Source organism: Homo sapiens, chromosome 5 (assembly GCF_000001405.40).
Source record: "Homo sapiens chromosome 5, GRCh38.p14 Primary Assembly".
In the NCBI taxonomy this organism is placed as follows: domain Eukaryota; kingdom Metazoa; phylum Chordata; class Mammalia; order Primates; family Hominidae; genus Homo; species Homo sapiens.
The window spans coordinates 107,989,085-108,016,445 of NC_000005.10; the positions used below are offsets into that span (position 1 = coordinate 107,989,085).

At 35.7% G+C, this 27,361-nt stretch overlaps 1 protein-coding gene across 4 annotated transcripts in view, besides 1 other annotated feature; it reads right to left on the reverse strand.

Annotated features, from left to right (window-relative positions):
- Nucleotides 1-27,361, reverse strand: part of FBXL17 (F-box and leucine rich repeat protein 17) — a 523,064-nt gene that overhangs the window by 130,050 nt on the left and 365,653 nt on the right. The gene's annotated exons all lie outside the window — the stretch shown is intronic.
- Nucleotides 14,128-14,257: an enhancer, noted in NCBI's record as "active region_22875". NCBI's record gives its function as "activates an Ori minimal core promoter by ATAC-STARR-seq in GM12878 lymphoblastoid cells {active_cell/tissue: GM12878}" and the evidence as "EXISTENCE:reporter gene assay evidence [ECO:0000049][PMID:35858748]".

Sequence of the window (27,361 nt, forward strand, 5' to 3'; positions counted from 1 at the left end):
TCATGGTAATTGAGATATTCGTCACCCTAAACATTTACCATTTCTTTGTGTTAGGAATATTCCAAATCTTCTCTTCTGGCTATTTTGAAATGCACAATAAATTGCTGTTAACTATAGTTGTCCTACTATGCTATCAAACAATACCACGTATTCCTTCTATTTTAACGTATCTTCGTACCTATTAACCAACCTCTCTTCATCTCTCCCTACCCCCTTCCCAGTCTCTGGTGACCACCATTCTACTCTACCTCTATGAGATCAAATTTTTTTAGCTTCCACATATGAGTAAGATCATGTGATATTTGTCTTTCTGTGCCTGGTTTATTTCACTTAACATAAAGTCCTCTAGTTCCTAGTTCCAACCATGTTTCTGCAAATAATAGGATTTCATTCTTTTTTATGGCTGAATAATATTCCATTGTGAATATGCACCATGCCTTCATCCATTCATCTGTTGATGGACACAGGTTAATTCCATATCTTGGTTATTGTGAATAGTGCTGCAATAGTAATAGAAGTGCAGCTATCTCTTCGATAAACACTGATTTCCTTTCTCTTGGATATATACCCAGCTGTGGGACTGCTGGATCATATGGTAGTTCTACGTTTAGTTTTTTTTGGGAACCTCCATACTATTTTCCATAGTTGCTGTGCTAATTTACATTCCCCAAGAAGGTGTTTTCATCAGAACATCTAAATAAGGGTGTATTTGCAGCTTGTAATATTTCTACATAAATAAAAAAAATATTGTGACTTCCTGAATTAAGACAAATATAAAATTGGTTAATTTCTCCACCAGGTTTACTGATTGGAACTGTTCCTGGACTTCTACATGAAAAGGACCACCACTGCTGGGCTCTAGAAGAAAGCTGTGAAGTTCTTTTCTTCTCTTCCCCTAACCCCTTTTCATTTCTCTCAAAGGAGGAGGAGTGCAGATCTGAAACTGGATTCTGGGATAGTAACTGAGCAACATATTCTAGGGATGAAACTTTAGAAAGAGGTAAGAGCTTTTCTTTATCTACTGTGGTTGTTGCTTTCTTCTGGCATCCTCCTATGACAGGAAACTAGTAAGGTAAATTCAAGATCCCTAACATTCCTTTTTCTTTCAGCTGGGGCATACAGAACTGGGGCTATCGCCCTAGGGAGACAAGGTCTGGGATAGTAGGGATGGGTATGGCTTTTTATTTCAACAGGGTTACTAATTATAAGATTGATGTTTGGGAGCAGAAACTCATTTGGTCCTTAAGGCAAAAGGACCATGTGTTTTTAAAATTAGAGTTCTGCATTAGCTTTGGGGTAAAAGATGTTTATCATCATTTATTCATTTATCATTTGATTATTAAGTGAATAATGATTAGAGCAAACTCTGGAGTTGGTCTCTGTCAATTTGAATTCTGGCTCCATGACTTAAAAACCGCATTATTTTGGGCAGGTTATGTAATTTATCTATACCTTAGTTTTCTTATCTGTAAAATGGAAATAATAACAATAACAACTAATAATAAATCCCTAGCAGAAGAGCTGTGATACTTGATTAAGTTGATAAATGTGAAATCCTTAAAACAGGGCTGGCATATAGCAAGTGCTCAATAAATATTAGTTACTATTATGAATAATTATTTAATATAAGAAATAATGTTAGTCTTATTTGGCAAACTGATAAGCAACAGAAGATGCAAACAGAAACATGAAAGACAAGGTCCCTGTCCCCAGGGAACCTATCTCATGGTGTCTTGTGTATGTATCTTCTCAGAGACTGACATCTTCTCCGAGACTGGTAGGATTTGTCTCAGTCTCAGACTTCCGGAGGCGAATTACCATCTTAATAACCATCCAATTTTATCCTTATAACAAACATCGACTCTCAGAATGATGCCAGGACCAAGTCTGAGGCCCACTAGCTGAAATCTTTTGTTTTTATTTGAAAAGGGCTAGTTACAGACATAAACGCAGAGGCTCTGAGCTAACACTGATGTGTGGCATCATCAAAAAGGAAACAGAAAACTGTAGGGGTAATGTCAAAATGACCTACTTAGATTATTGTTACTGTACCTCCAGAAAGATAAAGGATATGGGCAGTCTTAAAGATGGACAACCAAAGGGACTGAAGGGATGGAAATTTTCAGTGGTTACAGGGGCAGAGAACTAGCTCGCTTAGATGTTGAGAAGTTTGGAGGAAACTGAGGAGATACTGAATGCAGCAGCACCCTCATGAGAAGAAACCCACAAGAGAGCTGCTTTAGTTCCCTAGACCTCTTCGGTTTCACACCTAGGTTATTTGCCTTTAAATATATCCTCTTTTGGGGGGTGGGGTTGAGGTGGGAAGAGATGGCCTGAGTGAGTCCCTGTTTCTTAGTCCCTATAGTTAAGAGCTCATACCATGCCCATGCATAGGATTTCTCTACTGCTTTCACTCCATTCCCTTTCTCAGTTGAGACTGTTTCCCTTCTACTATATTTAGAGCCTATATTGGTTTTGGAGTGTCAGGAAGAAAGATTGTATTGGCCTTGCAAGTTACTGTGTTCTTGCCCAGGCAGGCTACAACAGAGAGAGAAGGTGGCCACGACAGTTTGCAGATTAGCTATATTCATCCCTCCTATTCCCCAGAAATAACCTGCCCTTTCAGATCTAAGTTTCCCTTGCTATTTTATCTCTATCTTTGGTATTTAAATACTGCTTATGCTGGGAGAAGAACAATCCTGCATGGTTTAATCTGCTCTTTTATAATATCCTTTCATTAGCTTGGAAAATGAGGAGTCAACATAATTTATTTTCAGGAGTACCCTACATAAAACCCACTTAAAAATATGTAAGCATATCATTGCATTGCTTAAGGTAGAGAGATTTAATCATAGTATTTAATAAAATAAAAACTAATTGCTTAAATCAGAGTATCAGAATTTCTTTCAAATGAAGTGAGGGGACCAACGGATTATGACTTTTCCCTGTTCACATCTAAAATATTGAGATAAAAATTATACATGCACACACATATCATATTAATTGTGTGTGTGTGTGTGTGTGTGTGTGTGTGTAAAATGACTTCTAAATCTATACAATTGGGGCAGGTAGGTGATCATTTAATGTTGTAATTTTCTTTATGATAAATAAGAATCAGGTAAGAACTGCCTCTCTTTACAGAGTTTAATGATCAATAGATTGAGTCAAATTAGGATGGAACTAACTTTCTATTATGGAAAGAAAACATATCACTAATCAAATACCCTGATTTAACATGAAAAGTATAGTATTAAACACAGAACAAAGGTAAATTTTCTAATTTGGTGTAGCAGAAGAAAAAAATACATTGTCTCCTTGAAACTGGAACTACAATCAGAAAAATGTTGGCCTTGAAAAAGTCATATAAAAAAGGCTATAAGTCTCCCAATTTCTGTCATTATTTATTTAATGTGAAAAACACTGCCATTACTAAGCAGATTTTCCCCTTTGTCCTTCTACATGATGAAAAAGGCAACTGATGCCACTTGTGTCACTGAAACAGGAAGAATTATTTAAGTAAGTTCTATGTGTGCTTTGGGGTACACATTTTAAAAATTTTTTTATCAAGGAAAATTTTAAACATAAATAAAAGTAGACAAATAGTATAATAACTTTCATGTATCCAACACCTAGCTGCAACAATTAACCCATAAACAAAAGCATTTTTTATATATCCCTACCTACTTCCCTTATTCTGTGGATACACTGACTGATTGTTTTACAGCAAATACCAAATAGCATGTCCTATCATTTTGGTGGTTCATTTAATTAAGCCATTACCCAGCATAACAATAATTACACTTTTGTTTTTCCTTCCTCTTTTTTTTTTGAGATGGAGTCTTGCTCTGTCGCCCAGGTTGGAGTGCAGTGGCGCGATCTCGGCTCACTGCGAGCTCCACCTCCCAGGTTCACGCCATTCTCCTGCCTTAGCCTCCCGAGTAGCTGGGACCACAGGCGCCCGCCACCACGCCTGGCTAATTTTTTGTATTTTTAGTAGAGACGGGGTTTCACCATGTTAGCCAGGATGGTCTCGATCTCCTGACCTCGTGATCCACCCACCTTGGCCTCCCAAAGTGCTGGGATTACAGGCGTGAGCCACCGCACCCGGCCTGTTTTTCTTTTCTAAGTCCTATCACTTGTACTTTTCTTATTCCTCAATTTTTTTCTCTCATGTCTTAATGCTTTTATAAGCCTGCAAGGGGTAAAAAGAAAGACTCTCATACTGTTATGGTAAGATGATGAGTGATTATTCTTTATCCACGTGTATTTCTGATATATAATTTGTGAGTCTATTAAACAAATAATTAGGTAAAAAATTAGAGATACAGGGATTTATTAAACCACCACGTGCAAATATGTTCTAAGCAAAGCTACTAAATACATATGATTTTCTGACATTTCTAATAAATTAGGAAAGTTGAATGTCAGTGAAGCTTCCATTTTTACATTCAGCTGACTAAGCAATAAATAGTCTAGGCAGTTGCTTTTTCACATATCTAAAAGCCAAGACCTGCACAAATAGGAATATTTCTTATATTTTTCTCAAAACATTTAATCTAATATACATTTTCCTACTGTTTTCCATTTTTACATCTGATGTCTACTTTAAACATGTTTTATGTTTAAAAGGAAGGTACACATTTTATCATTTTTCAGGAATTTTCCTGTCAAATCACACTCCTTGGTATCATGGTGCTAGCCCCAGTAATTAAGTCATGGCAATACCAAAACAAAATATGTAGCAAACCAAAATTTATATCTGATAATGCCACAGCTAACCAATTTTTGAATAGAGCCTATGTTACCAGATCAAGCTCATTTCAGACTAATATCCTTTTTTTAAGAATATACATTCCCCTCATAGTGTCCCTCTCAGGGCTGTGGTATAGAAGTTAAAAAGTTAGAATTAGCTGATAAGAGATTTTCAAAATAATGTTAAAATCATACTAAAATTATAATTATTATTAATTCTACATGTTTTAAAATAAAAATTTAAGGTGAAAATTGTTTCATTAATTAAGAAGGCTTGGAAAAGGCATAATACATATTGATTCATAAAGCCAGATTATTTCCTCTACCATTCTAGGAAGTTTCTAATTTATTTCCATTAAAGCCTAGTGACATGATATCGCAAATATTGATTTTAAAAATAAAATCCTCTGTTTTAATGCCAAATAATTCCAAATATTAACAAAATTAAATGAATAATGTTTTTTTTTCTTCTTACCATTGATAACATGTTTTCTTGCTAATACACTGCTTTAAATCAGAATAATTTGTGGTAGGGCAAAATCTTTTTAGTGTGTTGTGTGTGTGTGTGTATATATGCACACATGTATCAGTCTCCCTCTTCTTTGAGGCCACAGGTAATTAATTAAAAATTAGTTTATCTTCAGGCTGAAGATAGCATTAAAACTGCATATTTTAAAAAATAAACATAAAGGGCAATAAACATACTATCAAACCTATACAAGGCTGGGCACGGTGGCTCATGCCTGTAATCCCAGCACTTTGGGAGGCTGAGGTGGGTGGATTATGAGGTCAGGAGTTCAAGACCAGCCTGGTCAAGATGGTGAAACCCCATCTCTACCAAAAATACAAAACTTAGCCAGGCGCGGTGGCAGGTGCCTATAATCCCAGCTACTTGGGAGGCTGAGGCAGGAAAATCCCTTCAACCCGGGAGGCGGAGGTTGCAGTGAGCCGAGATTGCGCCACTGCACTCCAGCCTGGGAGAGAGAGAGTGAGGCTCCATCTCAAAAAACAAAAACAAAAACAAAAACACCTATACAGATATTTCTATAATGTCACATATGTTTAAAAAATGTTTTCTAAGTATAAGATAAGTTAATATTAATCAACGTGGTTAAAAGTAATGATACTGGTTACCCTCGGGGTAGGGTAATGACTGGAAAGGGTCATGGGGGCATCGTGGCAATAATAGAAATGTTTCTTGATCTGAATTCTGGTTACAGAGTGTATTCAGTTTGTGAAGATTCACTGAACTGCGTACTTATGATAGGTGTGCAATTTTCTCTATATTTACATCAATAAAAAGATTTTTAAAGCAGAAAAAGAACTAAAAAGGTATTAGAGCATTTTAACACTGTATCTCCTACACCATTCTGCTATTTCTTAATTTTTACATATTAGAAAAATATTTTCACATTTATAAATACATATAAAATACAGAAATGATTCAATGTTTTACAAGTCAACTATTTCCTATTTAACCTGATTTATTTAAAACACATGCTGTTTGAAAAATTTGGAATAATCTTGCATATGACTTAGCTCCCATTAAGAGAGGCAAGCATGGCTAAATGAACTCTTTCCTACAGGATATTTAAACTCTATCAGGTGAACCAAAAGAACCAAAAAGCCAGGATACAGTCTTCATTAATTCTAGTAGGACTTATTTGAGAGAGGACAAACTTTCCCTTACTTTTAAGAAAAAAAAATGTTTTATAAGAGTTTGTGTGTGTGTGTATGTGTATCAATATAACCAAAGCCAAATCAACTCAAATTTCTGAAGGCTTTTATAAATTATTCAGTATATTTAAAATACTTATTTTGGAAAATTACATGAGATTTATGCTTAGAAATTCAAGTAATCTGGCCTCATTTAATGATGTTATGAAATAAAAATAAATAACATTAAATAAATTAAATAAGTAGTATTAAATCAATAAGCATTTAAATTAGTTCTGTGAAACCTAATAAAAAGCACAAAGCTGTTATTCTAAAAGAAGGTGAAAGTTGAGGACAGTAAATTTGAAAAATGGAAAAATACAGTCATGGAAAAATGAGACAATGAAGCAGCCCAAAAAATCAGAATCTGTAGTTGATGAAACACAGTGCAGTAGCTGAGTCTATAAAAGACAATACACCTCAACAGATCTATTCTTTTTCTTTTCTTAAAGCTACAGCTATATGTTCAGGCAGAAGCAACCACTTAATTTTATGGTTGGTTATGACCAAAAACTCAACAACTTGGACCATGTCTAAATGCTCAAAAAACATGACAAATGTCAAATTTCCTAATACACGCCATGCCTGATTTTTTTCCCTTTGTTTCATACAATATCACTCTGCCTTGCTGAGTTCTCCTGTCCAAATCCTCCCTTCCTTTCTCTACCAGCCTAAAATTTCATTTTTTCTTAAATGTTCCCTGATAACATTCCTGCTCTTAAATTATCTTTGTCTTTCTCTGAATTCCTATGACACTATTTTTTGTTTGTTTGTTTGTTGGAGACCGAGTCTCCCTGTGTGACCCAGGCTGGAGTACAGTGGCAAGATCTCAACTCACTGCAGCCTCTGCCTCCTGGGTTCAAGTGAGTCTCATGTCTCAGCCTCCTGAGTAGCTGGGACCACAGGTGTGCGCCACCATGTCTGGCTAATTTTTGTATTTTTAGTAGAGACAAGGTTTTGCCACGTTGGCCAGGCTAGTCTAGAACTCCTGATCTCAGGTGATCCGCCCACTTGGGCTCCCAAAGTGTTGGGAATACAGGCATGAGCCACAACGCCTGACCTAACAGTAATAATTTAACTTTTATATAAGAAATGTTTTACAAGTAAAACTCTCAAAGAATAAAATATATCTACTATATTTTATCATTAATTCTTTACCACAGTCCAATTTACAGTGAAGAAACTGAGATCCAGAGAGATTAAAAAATGTGCCTGTCTTCACACAGATATTAAGACACAAGGTTGGGTTTTGAACTTAGGCCTGCTTGCCTCCAAAGCATTGAAGCTTATACCTTTAAGCAGATAGTAATTTTGGAAGACAGAATTTGATTTCATCATGGTACCTCTCCTGGAAAAATGGGTTGAATTTTTAACATCACTACTCTTCGCATGTTGCCTGTGACAGATGCAGATGTAAAATATTAGAGGGAAGATGAGGAATATGCACATGTTCTTATAACCAGTTAATATCAGGGCTGAGACTGGAAACTGTCTCCTGGTCCCTTTGCACCATGCCCCACTGAAAACTTACAGCATGGAGTATTCCGGGATGAGAGATTTTATCTAAGTAGGCAGTACATCGTAGCGGAAAGTTTAGGGTCAGTGACATCTGGTTTTAAATCCTGTTTCTACTGTTTACATTGTATCCTTAGGCAACATAGGCAAATACTCTAGGTATATTTCTTTATCAGTATAATACTAATAATACAGATATTGAAGGTTGATAACTGTGAAGACTAACAAAATACTTAGAGCTGGTCTCTCTGCTCCATCCTAACTTATATGTAAAATTGAAATGCTGAACTCTAATATTCTAGTGACATGTCATCATTTGCAGGGGTTTGTCATACAGCAAAGTCCACAATTCAGATGTATGTTCTCTACAGTGGCTCTTCTCCACATGGGTGTCCAAGACCCCTCCAGGCATCTTAATGAGGGAACAGTGCTTCTCGCTATTCATTACCCAAGAGAATTAGGGAGATGGCATCTTGAAAACAATTTCAAGAATTCATTATCATATCAAATACTGCAGGTTTCATTACAAGAGGGCAAGCAGTTACAAAGGAGATGGTTTCCTTTTTCTTTCTCTGTCTGATGTTCTTGTCTGTCTTCCAAGATGTCAGATGAACAGTCTGCTTTATTTATAAACGCGACTGAGGCTGAGAACAAAAGGATGTGATTATAAAAAGAAAGGAAAAGCCTCAGAAGGATGAGGTAGGAGGTGAACTTAAGGTCTGTTAACTAGATGGATAAATCAACACCCTGAGTCACTAAGACAATAAACAAAATAAAATTCATGTTCAGTGACTGATTGCATATTTGCCACAAAGAAGGAAACTAAAGTCCACACTGACAGCCATTTTCTCACGTTTCAATAAATTTAGAATGAATCCTGAAGTGGAGTTTTAACACTACAGAAGGTTATTCTAGAGCTACACTGTCCAAAGACACACATGGCTACTGAGCACGGGAAACATAGATAGTCCAAATTGAGATGTGCTGTAAATGTAAAATACACACCCGATTTCAAAGACTTACTATAAGTAAAGAATGTAAAACATTTCATTAGTATTTTTTAATTGATTACATGCTGGAATAATAATACTTTGATTATACTGTATTACATAAAGTATATTATTAAAATAAATTTCACCAGTTTCTTTTCACTGTTTTCAATGTGGCTACTAGAACATTTTAAATTATCTATGCAGCTCACATTTGTGGCTTCCATTAAATTTCCATTGGACAGTGTTTGCTAACAATAAGAATGAAAGACATTTTAGGCAAGTGACAATACATAGCAATTACTTTCTTCAACTCAAACGTAAAGGGTTAAACTTCATTAAGAATTCCTTTTGCAAACTGTTTCTTGAGTCACAGATGTTCATGTGATATTAAACAGTAGGTATTTAGTATGTTACAGTGCTACCTGAAATATTTTGGCCATTAAGTTTATAATCTACAGAGATAAGATTTAAATTAATTCTAAATATATATATTCTGAATATAATTTCTAATATATAAGTATAAATTCTAAATATATACAATGACACTGATAAGGTGTCACCAGAATACCAGATTTCAACATATATGTATATAAAATTTTTGAGGTCAGAAAGTCAAAAGCAAAAACCCGAGAAACCTGAAATTTCTCATCCTCAAGTACTCTAACATCTTCCTTATTGTTGATTTCTTCATGAAGCTCTTCCCAGTGCCATCCATCCTCCATTGCTAAAGTTCTGTCATTGCAAGATAAATCTGACTTGACACTTGCCTCTTCAAACATCTCCAACAACTCCTAACATTTATAGCATAGAGTCTAAACTCAGAGTTAAAGCTTGACAACACCTTACTCCAAACCCCCTTTCCACTCTCATCTCAGGTAATTCTCCACCATACAGTCTAAATACTGAAGGCGAATACCATGCCCTTCCCAATCAGTCCAAGCTTGAGCAGTGCTCCTGCCCATTTCCCTCCAGGTCTGCTGGCGATCTCTCCTTGCCATCAGTGCCAGCTCCAGGTGACTTGGGAGGACCTTGTCTATACTTTCCAGGTATCTGGTAGATGAATATCATCATATATTCCACCTGTCATATTATGTTATATAGGTCTATTGCACCCCAGGTTAGTTTGCGACAGAGTGAGTAGGATGAAAATAAGAATAATGATATTTTATCTTTGTGTCTGCAGTATCTAGCACAGGGATAGGCATATACTAGGTCTTCGACAAATACCTGTTGACTGAGAGCATTATGCCTTTTACCCTCCATATCTTAGGCACTAGCCATGCAAGACTCTTATGTTTCTGAAATATCTAAAATTGGACCTATATCACTGCCGTTCTACAAAGTGTGGGATGCTTTTTTGAAATTTACTTTTTTTTTTTTACTTTTGTCAGAAACACACACACACACACACACACACACACACACCACACACACACATACAAATTTTTAAAGTCAAATACTACAACTAGCAGTCTCATGCTGTATGCCTCCACATTCCCAAAGCCCCACCACTTTCAACTCATTTAGCTGCTTCTTGCAATTCTTCCCTTCATTCTCATATTTCTAAATAACACATGCACACACACACACATACACACACAAACACAGACACAACTCAGACCTTGCTTTCAAAGAGGATATAAGCAAAAGGAGGCAGGTCTATCTTTATCTTTATGCTCCTCCAAATATGGGACTTTACACATAATGAATACTCAATAAACACTTACTGGTTGATTGAATGAATGGATAAGTGAATACACATGTTCTTTGGTGCTTAAGTGTGATCTATTCAACAGTCTGAAGTGGAGATGCATTCATATACCACATTCAAGGCAAAGAAACAAATGGACACACCAATTAAGAACAAGTAGAAAGGCGATAATGAAAGGCAAGAAAGACAAGGTGGGTAGAAACTAGGAAATCCTCCTGAACCAAAAAGTCAGGATATCCTGGGAATAGAGGTTATGTGAATGAGTTTTACTTCTAGATGTATAATCTTGGGCAATTTGCTTAACTTCCCTGGATTCCTGTTTTCTTATCTGTAAAATGGGATAATGCCTCCTCCCTTCTAGATTTGCTGTGTCTAGTAAGCTGTATAAATGAAAGCTGTATTGTTTTTATTGTTGTTTGTATGCATATGTGAATAATAATATCAATAACAACATCACCCTGGCAACCCTGAAGATGAGCTGACTTCCGGTCTAACCAGAAGCTTCTTATACGCATACTGCTAAGGCTTCACCAGGCCAAGGTGAAAATAGAAAGATGTGGGTACACTTGGCAATGAAAAGTATGCAGGGAGAAGATGAAGACAGGTTCCTTGCAGCAGTACTATAAAAAACTGAATTCTATTTAGAGCTGCATGTTAATCACCTTTTCTGTTTGTTCGTTACAGACTCTACCAAGGAAAATCCAGTCTGTTCTTTAGATGGCACACACAGAAGCAATAACAATATTTTACAAATGACAATAGATATCTGATGACTGCAAAAATTTAATACATATACTTGATGGAAAAATAAATTTCATAACATCCTATACTAATGTAATCCATACACTGAATAAAAACTCTATCTTCAACTTTCTATTAAGATAGATATGCCAGAATCTCAAGACAATAAAATCTCACTAGAGAGTATCATATACCAGAACCTCAAACTGCTTTCAGCATCTCCACAATGTTCAGTGCATTAATGTTAAATGATTGGTTAAAAGCATTTAAATCAACCTTCCGTTCTTGAAATTTTCCATGAATGAAAACAACATCCATTTAAAAAGATCTTGCAAAAATGATTTTGTTGAAAAGAAAAAGAGGAACATAGCACAATAAATTATTTTAATGCATTTGGCTAGTGAAGTAGAATACAGCAGAAGCCCTTGAATCCTAAGTGCTCATAGATGATAAACATTTAAACACACCTGTGCTCCCTTTAATTTCAATGTACACAGGAAATTATAAAATAGCTGTGCACTTATTAAAATGATCTGCAAATATAAAACTGTAAAGCAACTAATAATACTAAAATGTTGACCTCAAAGCCCTAAATAACCTAAAGGTAAAAAGAAGAAAAATTATCTTCACATGTGGTAGTACACGTTGCTAGCCGTGTAATTTATATATATACATACATATACATATATATGTAAAACACCTTCAACTACTCAATAGTTTTGATCCAATTTAGGGAAAGGAAAACCCCAAACAGAGAAATAAGAATGACATGTGTGAATGTTTTTATGTTTTTAGTGAAAGCACAAGTCAAAACCATGTCTGCAAAATGGAATTAATCCCTAATTAAATTGCTTCATCATTTAAAATGTCTGAAATTAATTATCACAATAATAAAGGTAGAATTTAAGTACTCTGTATTTAAATATTTGAGTAAATTAAAAATATATTTATTTGGCTGAAAATGCAGAAGGAAAATTAGTTTTTTTTTGTATTTTTTTTTGTTTTTTGAGACAGAGTCGCACTCCATCGCCCAGGCTGGAGTGCAGCGGTGCTATCTCGGCTCACTACAAGCTCCACCTCCTGGGTTCAAGCCATTCTCCTGCCTCAGCCTCCCAAGTAGCTGGGACTACAGGCGCCTGCCAGCACACCCAGCTAATTTTCCATATTTCTAGTAGAGACGGGGTCTCACCATGTTAGCCAAGATGGTCTCGATCTCCTGACCTCGTGATCCGCCCATCTGGGCCTCCCAAAGTGTTGGGATTATAGGTGTGAGCCACCGTGCCCAGCCGGAAAATTAGTTTCTTAAGGTTAGTTTCCGACATCTCAAAATTAAAAAAAAAAAATCCTGGGCTAATACTTTAAACATCCTATTGAAATTTTTCCTCTTGTGCTATTAAAGAATCTTGATGATTCTAATAACTAAAAATAAAAAAAGACATGCAAAAATATGATCATTACCTTGCAAGTGAGTATTTTCAAATGACATAAATTTCAAATTGCAAATTTCTCTTGTAGATTTTTTTGAGATGGAGTTTCACTTGTCACCCAGGTTGGAGTGCAATGGTGCGATCTCAGCTCACTGCAACCTCCGCCTCCCGGATTCAAGGGATTCTCCTCCCTCAGCCTCCTGAGTAGCTGGGATTACTGGCACACACCACCACACCCAGCTAATTTTTTTTTTTTTTTTTTTTTTAGTAGAGACGGGGTTTCACCTGTTGGTCAGGCTGGTCTTGAACTCCTGACCTCAGGTGTTCCACCCACCTCGGCCTCCCAAAATGCTGGGATTACAGGCACAAGCCACCGCGCCCAGTCGTCTCTTATAGATTTAAAACAAACAAAAAAAACTCCTTCTCTTTCAAAAACTCTTGTGCTCCAGACTTGCCAAAATTTTTTCCCACTTCAACAGAGATAGAAATGCTGGATAAAATACAACAAGCATTCTTTAAAATACATAACCGACTTAGTAAGAAAGTAAGAAAAAACTTATGATGCTTCTCAGTAATACTTTTCCCAGGTATCTACCTAAGATAAATGAGAACACGTGTTCAAATGAAAGACCTGAATGAGAAAGGTCATAGCAGCATTATTTATAATAGTGAAAAAGTAGAAATAACCCAAATGTCCATCAACTGGTGAAAGGATAAAAAAAAGTGGTATAGCCATAAAATGGAATACTATTTAGCAATAAAAAGGATAAAATACTAATACATCCCACAACACTGACAAATCTCAAAATACTAATACATGCCACAACATAGATGAATCTCAAGAAACTTACTAAGAGAAAGAAGGTATATGCAGAAGACCACATCTTGTTTGATTCCCTTTATACAAAATGTTCAGAAAAGACTAATCTATATAGACAGTGAATTATTAGTTGCCTGAAATTGAACAGGAACGGTGATTAACTGTAAACAGAGAAGAGGATCTTAATGGAGTGAAAGAAAGTTTTAAAACTGAATTGTGATGATTTCACAACTCTGCATATTTACTAAAATAATTGAAATGTACACTTAAAATGCATGAATTTTATAATGTATAAAGCTGTTTAAACAAATGAAGTAAATGTAAAAAGTTAAGGACCCAAAAATTAAGTATGAATGCCACAGCTACCTTGAGGAAGCTTGCTAATATTTGTGGCCTTTTGAATTTAATGGCCATGTGTGATAAGGGGAAAAAATATCTCCTCTGAGAATCAAAGTCACAGGCCAATCACATGAATATGGAGTGTGAGTTACCCTTTTTTCTGCTCTTAGAAACCCCTGCCCAAGAACTGAAACTGAAAGTAGTCCAAACTGCCCAAGAAACTGAAAGTAGTCCAAACTGGTAGTGTACCAGAGTTCCTGGTGGAGCAAACACAGATCTTTGAAAGCACATCCGTTAACACAGGTCACAGTGGGTTCCCATAGATAAAGATCAAGTAGAAGTTCACAATTAAAAACAAAACAAAACAAAAAACCCAATTCACTATGAATGAGAGCCAGAAAAAAGAAGAAAGAAAAGAATAAAACCCTAAAGGACTTCAGATTTTAGATTATCAGACATAAATGTAGTAAAAGTATATCCAAACTGTGAAATAGAAAGAGAACTGAAAACATGAGCAAGTAACATGTTACTATAAAAAAGACAAAGCAGATTTATGAAAAAGAATCATAATTTCCAGAAAGTACAAAGATGATCACTGAAATTAAAAATCCAACAGATAGCTTACAGAGAAAATTGGACAGGGCTGATGGAAAAATCAGCAAATCGTAAGCAGATGTGAAAATAACATACATTATAGCATAGGGATGGATAAAATAAAAGAGAGATTAATAGATTAAAAATATAGCATGAGAAGGTCTAATATATATGGCTAAATGTCCAGAATAGAGATAATGGGAAAAAGGCAATGTTTGAGAAAATAAGGTTTGAAACTTTCCCCAAACTAATTAAAGAACTGAGTCCTTGGGTTGAGGAAGATCTATAAATTCTGAACGTGATAAATAAAAAGAAACACATAGGAAGAGATATAACAGAAAAGCTGCGCAACATTAAAAGTAAAAAGAAGATATTGCAAGCAAAGAAAAAAGACAATTACTAACAAAGGAATAATGATTGGCAGCTCTTTCAACATAATGCAAGCCAGAAGACAGTGGGATAATATCTTCAAAATACACACAAAAAATTTAATTCCTAAATTGTATACCCAATTAAATATTATTCAAGAACCTGGGTAAACTTATGTTTTGATATTTTAACAGACATTTGTGTGTGAAAGCCTCATACATTTCAGTTAACGAACACTATTTTCCCCATTTTTTAATAAAAAGTAATAATGTAATCCTACTTATTCTAAATAAGTAGGTAAGAAATTGTATCTTATTTGAAAAAGCTTATGCAAGAAATTAATAAAAATATTTCTAAAATCATTACATGATAGAAATAAAATAATATTCCACTATCATATAACATGATTTAATTGGAAAATACTCATATTTTCTACCCCCTTTGCAATACTACTGAGTAAAGGTATGTCTGGTTGTCTCACAGAAAAGTTCCTGGGCAAAGAGGAGGAAAAAGTGCCATAGTTAAGCAATGGGAGGGAAAGTACTCCAGCCTGGGATCGAGGACAGCTTAGTTCTGGTTCTAGAGCTGGGAAAAACCAGGCCTCAGTTTTCTTCTGAATGAAAATGGAGGCTTCAGAGGAATCAGCATTTTCTCACAGCTCCTATAGCTCTGAAGCTTGAAAAATTTTTAGCCAAATTCTATAGGATGCCACTGAAACTTCTTCATAATCTCGGAACCAATAATCAAACTAGTGGGAAATACTTCTAGACAGAATTCGTAGCGTATTATATAATACATTCTTGCAATATTTTCCCACAAAAATTCATATTAGCTAGGAAGCTTCCATTCTGATTCCTCATTTCCCCAACCCTAAGAAATTAGATAATAGAAATACTTGTTTTAAAAGATGTTTGCAAAACTGACAAATTTTTGCCAAGAACACTCTACGCTGGTTAGGGGATACTGGGTGCCTGTCTCCCAGTGTTCCCAATAGTAGCAAAGCAAATTGCTAGAGTGTCAAATTTTCAATGACTTTTTTTTTTTTTTTCTGTTTTGCTCTGTCATTTGGAGACCAGACTGAATAGGCACAAGCAAGATTCTGGGTGATTTTGCTGCCTCGTATTAGCTAGGTTTTTCTCCCTCATGCAAAAATAAAATAGGAATCTAATGGTACTTATTCCTGTGGCTATGTCTGGACGATACGTAAAGTATCAGAGTCCCAGGTGAGGCCAGGACTGGCTGGTCCAGAGGCTGGAGGGGAGGATTTCAGAAACAGCACTGTCATCCTTTCATATGCCCTACCTCCTCTGTCTCAATTTTAGGAGTATAATAAATGTTCTCTTAAAAAGCATGCTGGGCAGAGGAAATAAAAAATGTGGTATGGATGGTGGTTAAATATCTGCCCTCTAATACATATAGAATCGTTTTTACATTTAAAGTCAAATCTGAAGCTGATTTAAAAATTCCTACAGTGGGTAAGAGCTAAGAAACCTTTCCCATGAAAATCTGACCTTTGGTTAACTTCCCAGATCTGTTCTCTGGCAATTCTAAAATGGTATTTTAACCATGTTATTATAAGCAACTATTATTGCTTATTGTAACAATGATCCCTGATTGATAAATAGCATCTGTCTGGTTTGAGAGAACTATAAATACCTGATAGGGACACCATTGCTTTCGATTACCTGAATGCAATCATTGATATAACTGGACTTATAACGTGTGGCAATTCTAGAAGCTATGCCTGTTGACTGTTCCAAGACATATTAGGTGGTGGGGGCTTGAAGCTTCTAAGCCAGGGTAATGCCTGTATCTATGTTATGTGGATCTTACCTCCTTATACTTGAGCCTTCATCTGGTGGGTGAAAGAAGAGCCTCCTGACTGCTGGGTGAACCGTGACGTGGGACTACCACAAGGTCTCCTACAGAAGCTGACCGCCTGACACTGCCCTCTGGCAAGCTAAGGCTCTTGTCTTGCTGAGCACACTGTGCCAAGGGTGGCCTATGGTGGCTAAATGTCTAAATATTTATTTGAATCTAAACTAAATGGGAGGCGAGGCACCGGAATGTTTAAATTTTAATGTTTCTTTTGGTTTTAGGTCTATATGTAACCCAGGATAAACACCATATTGCTAAAGTCATAAAAAAATTAATTTAAATAACATTTTAATTCATTCAAAAAATTGTAGAATGTTCATTGAAGCCACTCTGTGATAAATAGATTATAAGATAGGAAGAAGACAAATAGCGGATACAGTTAAGTGGTTACCACAGTTATCAGTGGATTTGGCTCTACTTAAATATATTTTGAGGATAGAGTTGACCGGGCTTGCAAATGGATGTGATGAAAGGTAGAAAGAAAGTGAAGCATCAGGGAGATCAAAGTTTTGGCCAAGTAAAAAGGTGAATAGTGATGCCATTTACACAGGGAAGAACAGTAGTGGTTATGACGAAGTGATAGAAATGATTGTGAGAATAAACAGCCTTCTATTCTGCATTTAGATTAACCTACTGAAAAGGAAGTACTTACATTAGCCAGTGCAGGGATATGATGCTTTGAAAACAGTGATAATGTGGATCCAGTTTTATAATCAGTATTACATACTTAGCTCTTTTTATGGGAAGCAGGTATGAATAAAGAAGAAAAAGTAGGAAAGTCAAAACGCAGCTTTAAGTGTGCAGCAGCACATCATGTGTTAAATTGAAACAACCCCAAAGTTCAACTTTCTTCACTGTTCAAGGAGAAAATCCTTTACTATGTACTTCAGGATAAAGGATTTGCAACTATATGGTGGTTGAGAAATATGCTATTGCTGTAATTTAACTCACTGTATGTGGGCTTCAAGATGCACAGTGGCATTCCAAACCAACTTTTAAAGAAAATTGCATGGAATTTTGAAGACATCAGGAGCGTTCTTAAAAGTTATGCAGAGAAAACGGATTTTTGATAGTTATGAATTATATTTAGTGCTGCCAGATTGCAGGGAACGCTCTTTTTGCCTCAGTATGGTTAAAATTACTGTTGACAAAGTTTTAATTTAAAATTTTAAGGTTTTAAATGGAAGAATATAGGTCACTGAATTTTCATTCACTGTTTAAGTATGACTACTGGCAGAAAGCAAGCTTTGTTAGTGAGGGTCCAATTTAGGCCCTGGAGTCCATCTTTTCTGTAGTAGTTGGGAATTGAGTATGTGTTAGTGAGAATAACTTGGCTCTCAGTCAGTCAATCAGTGGACTGAACACGCACAGTTAGAAACCTGCCTGGCACACAACAGAAGCTCAGTTCAGAAAATACTAAACGCATTTGTGAGACAGACTAGAGTCCACACAAATCATATATTACAATCACAAGCTGGAAGGGATCCGATCTTTCCTAGCAGGTTGTAGATTTAGATAGAAATGTAATAGTCCAAAAATACACTACACAGCTTCAAAGTCTAATTCTACAATTTTCAACCAGTTTCTTAAAGGTGAAAAAAAAAAGTAAATATTTGTAGAGCCCACTGCACGTAAAAAATGTCTTAAAGGACCTTCCCATTACCAGAAAAACTTGGGAAATTATAGTAGGTTTCTAAGTTAAATGCCGAGTATACGGTATGTAGGCTACTAAATATCAAGACCACACTTATGAACAATATTTAAAAAGTATATTTTTTCATAAATCTGAGAGCGTAGATTTCAAATGAAGTCTAGGAACGAAGATGAAGCATGAACTTCATGCAAAAGACAGCATAACGATAGAAAGGCTGTACCTTTCCACATAATGTAGAGTATGTGAGAGCGTCATCAGGTTTGTGCTGTTTGGTGTCCTATTTGTCCTCAAGGACCTCCTCCAGCTCTAGAATCAGCATGTTCCTCCACCGAATGATGAATGTGATGGATAATGTTTACATGTGCGGCACATATTCATGCGCATTCCCTGAATTTTCTGTAGCCCCAAAATATTGTGGAAATAAAAGAACGTGACAGAAATGTGGGGGGAATATGCATTAGGGGAATAAGGGACTAGACTTTATAACAATAATACACTTCACAGGAATGTAAATAACTAATAAATCGTACACTGGTAAGTACAAGCATCAAAAGCTGTGACAACAAAGAAACCAGAAATCATGTGCAAATATCAACATGCTTGATACCCTCATCCCTGTTTCTAGCGCTTAAAATTTTGTCAGGGTCCAAGAGAGTGAAAAGAAGATATCACTTAATCTGTTCCAATTTATAATTTTTTTGAAAGTTAATCATTTGCAAACCTTGAATGCAAGGTGTGTTATAATGGCAAAGTTGAAAACGAATGCTTTAGAGGATTTCAACCAATTTCTTATGTAAACCAGAGCAGAAGGGATGATTCTCAGAAAAAAGCTGAAGTACATTTGCCTCAACATAAAATAGGACTGATTAAATTTCAAACTCTTCATTTATTTTGTAGGGCAGAAATTTTAAGTTCCTTATTGCTGTTCAACATTGGCAGCTTAAATCTTATTTATTATTGATGCACATATATAGGTATGCTACTATAATATAAATGTGTGTAATAATATGTATTATTCATTAAAAGTTAATTGGTTACTATAAGATAGAAATAATTTAAAGTTTCAAATATACCATCTTCTAGCATATTCAGAAAATATCATTCTGGATGCGCGCAGCTTGGTTGTGAGTTGCTCCCTATACAAGTGCCTGCTCCTCAGAACACCAGAGACACATCTCTGGACTTCAAACCTCCAAATCTGACTTCATAAGGCTGACTTCGGAGAGATTTCCAAACATACAAAGGGCAAGGAAGGGATTGGATCCTATTAGGATTTTATTGTGATTTTATTTCTAATAGTAGAACAGAAGAATCCTTTATGAGCGGAAATAAAATATCTTCAAAGCAAACTGCTTTCTTGGAGAGGCTCCTAGAGCCATATGTGAGGAAAGAGATAGTAAGTAGGAAGAAAAAAAAGGGAAATTTAACCTAAGAAAGAAATAGAGATGATTAAAAATACACAAGTATCAATCATCAAACAGTACATAGCTAGTTTTCCACACAATTTTTTTTCTCTGCTTCTAAGAATTATTTGCCATATGAAAGCATTTTGGCAGGCAAAATGTATATTATATCAGTATGAACATAGTTCATTTGAAAAGCATATATATATATATATATATATATATATATATATATATACAGCTTGGTCGTGAGTTGTTCCCTGTTTTATATATATATATATATATATATATATATATATATATATACATATATACATACACATATAGTTTTGCTTTTGTTTTTCATATATATATATGGTGAATAGAAAAGTACCATAACTTCCTGAAGATGAACTGAATTTTCTTTGTTTATTCCTAATTTTTAGTTTTTTAAAATCTTTTCTCTGCCCTCACTCAGTCATTTTCAATGAAAGCCAAGTCACTTTCAGTCACTTGGCATACACAGAGCACAGAGGCACGGAGGCTGGATCAGCCATGTCGACTCAACACAATTGTTTGAAAAGTTGAAAAGTTCAAAGTATTTATTTAATGTCATGCAGATAAACCCAAGGAAAGAAACACATTTGACAGATAAATTCTAGGTGACTGAGTCTTTACAAGCCCAAGGGAATGTTTTAGGATAAGGGTGAAAATTAACAGCTTAATATTTAAGTTAAAAGTAAGTTTGATTTACTTAATTAGGAAATTAGATGAACAAAACGGTCTTTTTGCCTAAGGAGAAAGTTCCATTTAATATCTATCCTACAGTGAAATCATCAATCTGTCTGGTTCTTTGCCTCCAAAAAATATGAGATGGAAAGAATATTAACCCCTGATTTTATAGCTAATAAGATCAACGTGTGGGATCTGATGAGCTTGGGAAGGCTGGCACCTTCTACCTCGAGAATAGTGTCCATTTTGTACCGAGGAAATCTACCGGTTTTCTACCCTCTAGCAGGTCATTCACTGACAGATCCAGTTCTTACTTATATATTGAGAGAGAAGTTGAACTAGACCAGTATTTTTCAAACTTCTGGTCATTGTGTTAAGTGACAAAATTAATCTACTGAGAGTCCAACAAGCACTTCAAATGCAAAATGGATTTCTCACTGCAGGACAAAGAAGTTTGAAAGCCCATGAATGTAATACCATACAGTTTTGAACACTTTTCTATTTATTTCCAAATGGCTGGGTCCAAGAGGTCCATTTTCAATACTTAAAACAAATGCAGAATATTTGAGACAAACAAAATCAGAAGGTAATACCCAGCAAGTTGATGGACTAGCTAAAATGTAAAATTACTTCTTCCCAAGTCCCACCTCTAACTTCTCCAAAAGTAGAAAATGTGTCTGGGGATTAAGTGAGTATTGGGTACAAGAAACTACAAGCTTTTAGTCCTTGAATGAGGATGCTTTAAAACCTGTGTGGAGGGGCTGACTTTGCTGAGTTGTAATGAGAAGGCTGGACCTGTGATGACGAATATAATAGGTTTTAAGCTGGAGGAATAAAAGACAGAAAAACACAGTGATGTAAGATTCGGGATGTAGCACAGACTTAGAAAAATTCAATCAAAGGAAGCACGGTTCTTTAGAAAAATGGATTATCCCATGTCTCTACCATAACGTGCATAAGAAGAGCCTGGTGTATCTTGACATAACGAGTCCATGTCAAAAGAAAACAGGAATCAAATGAAGAAGCTTCCACTATCAAAAATAGGGCAATTTGAGCATCAATAAAAAAAAATTGCAATGGATCACTGAGTTTAAAATGATAATTAAACAATAGTTCTTCACTGATCACCTTTATGGGATGATGCAAAACCACTGCATATTTTAAAAACTGGAAAATAAAGGAAAACAATTACATACCATTCCTGCCTTTCCTAAATAAATTGAACTCAGGTAAACTGGAAAGCTGATATTTATCTAAAGTCCAGCTAGGAGATGAAAAGGGAAAGACCTTCTGGAGAGGCTTAACTATGCCTATGTTAGTGGATACAAGAATGTGACTCTAATCTGTGATAAACATACAATATAATGAATTATTTTAATGTTAAATTTATATTGTGTTTTGAGTGTTACTCTCACTTTCTAAATAGGAAAGTTGGGACATGTTTGTTTTGTTTTTCTTCAAAATAAATCATGTGTTATGTGTCTAACATTAGTAGGCTAATTAGTAAGTAGCGAAGTAGATCTAGTCCAACATCAGCTGGTGAGGACAAAATTATCTTGAAGAGCAGGTAAAACCATAAGACAGCACTTGGGAATAGAAGACATATGGTTTGATACTTTAGAAGAAAGGGATGCAGCTCTTGGGCTTTTTCTCCCTTTTTGCTCCTACTTTTCATTGTATCTCGGAAAATAAGGAACACTAAAGCTAAAGAGAACAAAGTAGGTAGAACACAAAGCCACACTGAAGAGGGATTTGATTTTTTACTTCTCAGAGAACATTCTTGGAGAGGCTCTCTCAGGAGAAGAAAGTTAATGGGGCTGGGTGCAGTGGCTCATGCCTGTAATTCCAGCACTTCGGGAGGCCAAGGCGTACAGGTCACTTGAGGTCAGAAGTTCGAGACCAGCCTGGCCAACATTGTGAAACCCTGTCTCTACTAAAAATACAAAAATAAAATAAAATAAAATAAAATTAGCCGGTCATGGTGGTACGTGCCTGTAATCCCAGCTACTGGGGAGGCTGAGGCAGGAGAATCACTGGAACCTGGGAGGTGGAGGTCGCAGTGAGTTAAGATCTCGCCACTGCACTCTAGCCTGGGCAACAGAGTGAGACTCTATCTCAAAAACAAACAAACAAAAAGTTAACAGGCAACTGAGGGTGAATGATGACACTGAGGCCTGAGAACTTCTGAGTGTAGGGTTAAGAAAGGAATTCAAGAAAGCAATTGCTTACATTTCTAGGAATAGTAAAATTATGTATCTCTAGAAATATCTGCACTTTAAAGCTACTATGAAAGTATCTCATTGAATGTTGTCTTAAATTGCTTTAAAATTACTACTTAAATAAAGAAATAATTCTTATATGAAAAGCAGAGAAATTTGAGAAGTCATCTGCAATGGGGAAATTTTAGTTTTTGTTTTGCAAATTAACTAAAACCTGTCAGGCCTCAGCTTCCTCATCTATTGAAAATAGGTAATACTACTTCTTTCATAAGTTAGTTATAATAATTTTAAAAGAGGATTCAGAAAAAATTTAACTCATGAAGAAATATATACACTTTTGAAATCATTTTAAGAAAATATTTGTTGAATATATTAATACATACTGAATATCAATAACAATCTCCCCCTTTCAGCTACAGAACACTTAATCATGGCATGCAACTTACATTTGGTATCAGCATGGCAAAGTTATAGTGAATAAGTAAATTAAACCTATTAAGTTCTAGAAGAATATAATTAGATCTCATGGGGTAGCGCTTTATGACATTGTTTTTTCATATGCAGATTAACAAATATGGCTGTCTGGATTTAGTTATATTTTTAAGGCTCTGACATCTGGAAAAATCCTACTGGAAAAAAAAGTGTTGCTAATAATAAATACAACACTTCTCTGACCTCTGAGTGATTATGCAAGACACTGACTTAATACTGAATGCATACTATAGTGTTACGCACAAATTATGTAAACCTGAAGCTATCCAGGTCTCAGTTTCCATGTCTACAACTTGAATAATAATAGTACCTAGCTGGCTGGGTGTGGTGGCTCATGCCTGTAATCCCAGCACTTTGGGAGGCCAAGGCAGGCGGATCACCTGATGTTGAGAGTTCAAGACCAGCCTGACCAACATGGAGAAACCCTGTCTCTACTAAAAATACAAAATTAGCCGGGCGTGGTGGCACATGCCTGTAATCCCAGCTACTAGGGAGGCTGAAGCAGGAGAATCGCTTGAACCTGGGAGGCGGAGGTTGCGTCAGCCAAGATCGCACCATTGCATTCCAGTCTGGGTAACAAGAGCGAAACTCCGTCTCAAAAAAAAAAAAAAAAAAAAAAAAGTACCTATCTAAAGTGGAATATTAATAAAATTAAATGAATAATGCCCACAGAAAACATCCAATACATTTTATCTATTTTATCTTTATTATTATTGTTACGAAAGTTTGTTATTTCACTTATTTCTAATTTAACTGGATACTTGATTAGTAGTGATAACCCAAAGTAATATTTCCTTTTACATAATATATGTTAATGGAAGTTGTTACCATGGGAATGCTGAATAAGACAGGAAAAGTCACAACAAAAATTGGAACTTACCCTGAATTTTCAACTAGAATATTTTCATAAGGTTTCTTCAAAAATTTGTCCGTGTTTGCATGTAATCACTTTGGATGATTTCTATTCTTTCTTCAGAATAACCAACGCATACAAAAGCATCCATTCAGACACCTGTTCTTGCTCTGAGCCTTTCCAAGGGTTGTTCTACCTCAAATGCCCTTCCTTCTCCTCTCTGTTCTCCCATGTCTCCTCTTCCACAAATCCTTCCCCAAATATTGCAGTCTATGATGATTCTGTCCTCTCTTGAGCCCCAACATGTCATAGGCAGAAAATTTTACATGGTTTCCGTCTTCTTTCTCAACACAAGAGTACTTCCCATCCATCTCTGTATTTTCCACAGCACCCTGCCAGTAGCATGCACACACAGAGTAAACATTTGCTGAATGAAACAAAAATAAAAAACCAGTCTAGAATGAACCCCAGGATTAGAATGGAATTTAGAGATCATATAGGCTGATTTCCTACCCAATGCTTTCATCTTTCCACATCCTCCCTCAGATATTATCTCTGCTTGAATAGTTCTCGTAATAGAGAACTCACTACCACTCAAGATATCTATTTTCAAGAAGTTTTAAACATTAGGAAGTCATTTCTTGTTTGGCATACTGGAAGTCTAGCATTATTGCAATTATCTTGGTATTCATTCCAGCTCCATTTAGAACTATCCATCAGTGATATAATACTGATAATCGTCAATAATAATTCTATATATATACCTTTAGATAGTACTTGGAAAACAATGCTTAGTCTGTATATCCAAGAGTACTATGCAGTGAGGGTTAAAGATAGGAACTCTGTGAAAAATGATGCTTTATATGATTTGGGACTAATTTCCTATACCTATAGAAGACTGTTTCAAAGACTAATGTTAAAAATAGCTAGTTAAAAATTGGACAATATATTTCAGAAATGCTAACAGGAATTGAGGAAAGAAAAGATAAAAAGTTAATATTTCAGTTAATGGTTAAATATGTAAATTTATTATTTAGCTTAAAAACTAATTTGGAACAACATACATGTACTTCAAAGGGTAAGAAAGTTAAGGGGTAAGCACGCAAAAACAGGTTCATTTGTCTTTTAAATGAAGGCTAGAATGTTTCTTAATTTAAAAAAACGACTAAATGTGAAGCTAGAGTTAATCTTTGAATTGGTTGTGGTGGTATTTTCTTGGATGAACGTTTTAAGAAGTCCCTCTCAATAGATTTGACATTTGTAGTCTATTCTAGCAAGACACAGTGATAAGAGTTGTCACTGCTCAGTCTTTTATTTCAAGGTTACTTAGCTGCAGTCTTGGGATGACCTAGGCAATAGGAAAGAATGTCAACAATTTCTTTGCTGTAGAGCAAAGGAGAAAGGAGAAAAGATTAATAATTAAATACCAAATTTTGGGTGAAAAATCATTTCCATTATATACTAGTCCGCTTTCATGCTGCTGATAAAGACATACCCCATACTAGGTAATTTATAAAGAAAAAGAGCTTTAATGGACTCACAGTTCCATGTGACTGGGGAAGCCTCACAATCATGGTGGAAGGCAAAAGTCACATCTTACATGTCAGCAGGCAAGAGAGAATGAGAGCCAAATGAACAGGGGAAACCTCTTATAAAACCATCAGATCTCGTGAGACTTATTCACTACCGCCACAACAGTATAGGGGAAACTGCCATTATGATTCAACTATCTCCCATTGGGTCTCTCCCACAACACATGGAAATTATGGGAGCTACAATTCAAGATGAGATTTGGGTGGAGACACAGCCAAACCATATCACATTACTAAGAAAAAGAACATAACACCTGCTAAATGTAACAGTAGGAATATAAATCTGGTAAAGGGGAACTCCAGGAATAAAAGAAAATTTAGAAATGGAGAGAAATAACTTTTAAGATGAACATAAAAACAAGGGAAATTTGCAAGCATAGATTTAGCAATTTAGTACTATTTTGTTAGAAACAATAAAAGTTACCTATATTTAAATAATAGAATGGAAAAAAAAGTGTGAATAATCAACAGTAAACATTAGGACATTCTTTTTGATTTACAAATGTCTTTTCTAACATTCTTCTCTATCACCTTACAACTATTAGAGTTATTCCTGCTGACAAAAGGAGTGGAATCTTACCTAGCAATCTTGGAGCAGTTTAAAATACTATTTAAAAATGAAACAAAATATAAAATGAAAAAAACAGGAATTTCATTTAAAATGGGAGATCATTACATGTAATGCATGCCTAATAACATAAAACATAAAATAACATAATAAAGAGCAAAATTATTTTGGGCATAGAAATTTTTTTCTTGAATAATTTATCAGTGCTAGTCTGGCAACAAAAGGGATACCGGGGTAACCCAGAATGCTTGTTGGGGTTTCTTTTGTTTCATGAGTGTATTTACTTTGATGATGTATCCCAGATCCTAATTTGGGTTAACTAACAGCTTAAAAGGGTTGGTATCCCAAGGAGAGGTAGGGAAGGTATAACCTTTTAATCTTCCAATAGTATCAGAAGGTCAACAAGGCTGGGGTGAGGTGTGGGTTACACCAAAACGATGAATAATGTCACCAGGCCACTCCCTGCTATTCTTGTCTGGAAAACAAGATGCATTTTTTTTAATAAGCAGGCTAGCCTGTCCTCTGGATCCTACCAGCATTATCCCTTTAGGAATGCAGAAACTAAACATCTGTATGTAGTACATGGCCCAGCACACGGTGGGTGCTGACTCAATATTTTTTGACAGAATATTATGTTTGACAGAATGAAATTTTTTTATCATGTCTGACATATGGCAGCCCAACTAAAATGACATCTCCAATCATAATCATGGACAAAGTGACCTCCTTGACTTGGAAGACCTTTTGCCCAGAGCAATTCAAAAGTTTTGTCAAGCCACATGGTTATGTTAAAAAGTCCCAGATCAGTACTGCGATCAAGAATACAGGGCAGCCAAAGACAGCCTCAGGAGAGCAGTCCACGGGTCTGTGGAAACCACACAGAAGGATGTGGAGTGGTACTGAGTGAGCCTGTGGGTTGTCAGCAACCTGTATGCCCCCAAACAACAGTGTCAGTATTTGAGTGTTTCCAGTCCTCTTTAATTAAAGATTATTTTACTACTTTAAAATGGAAACA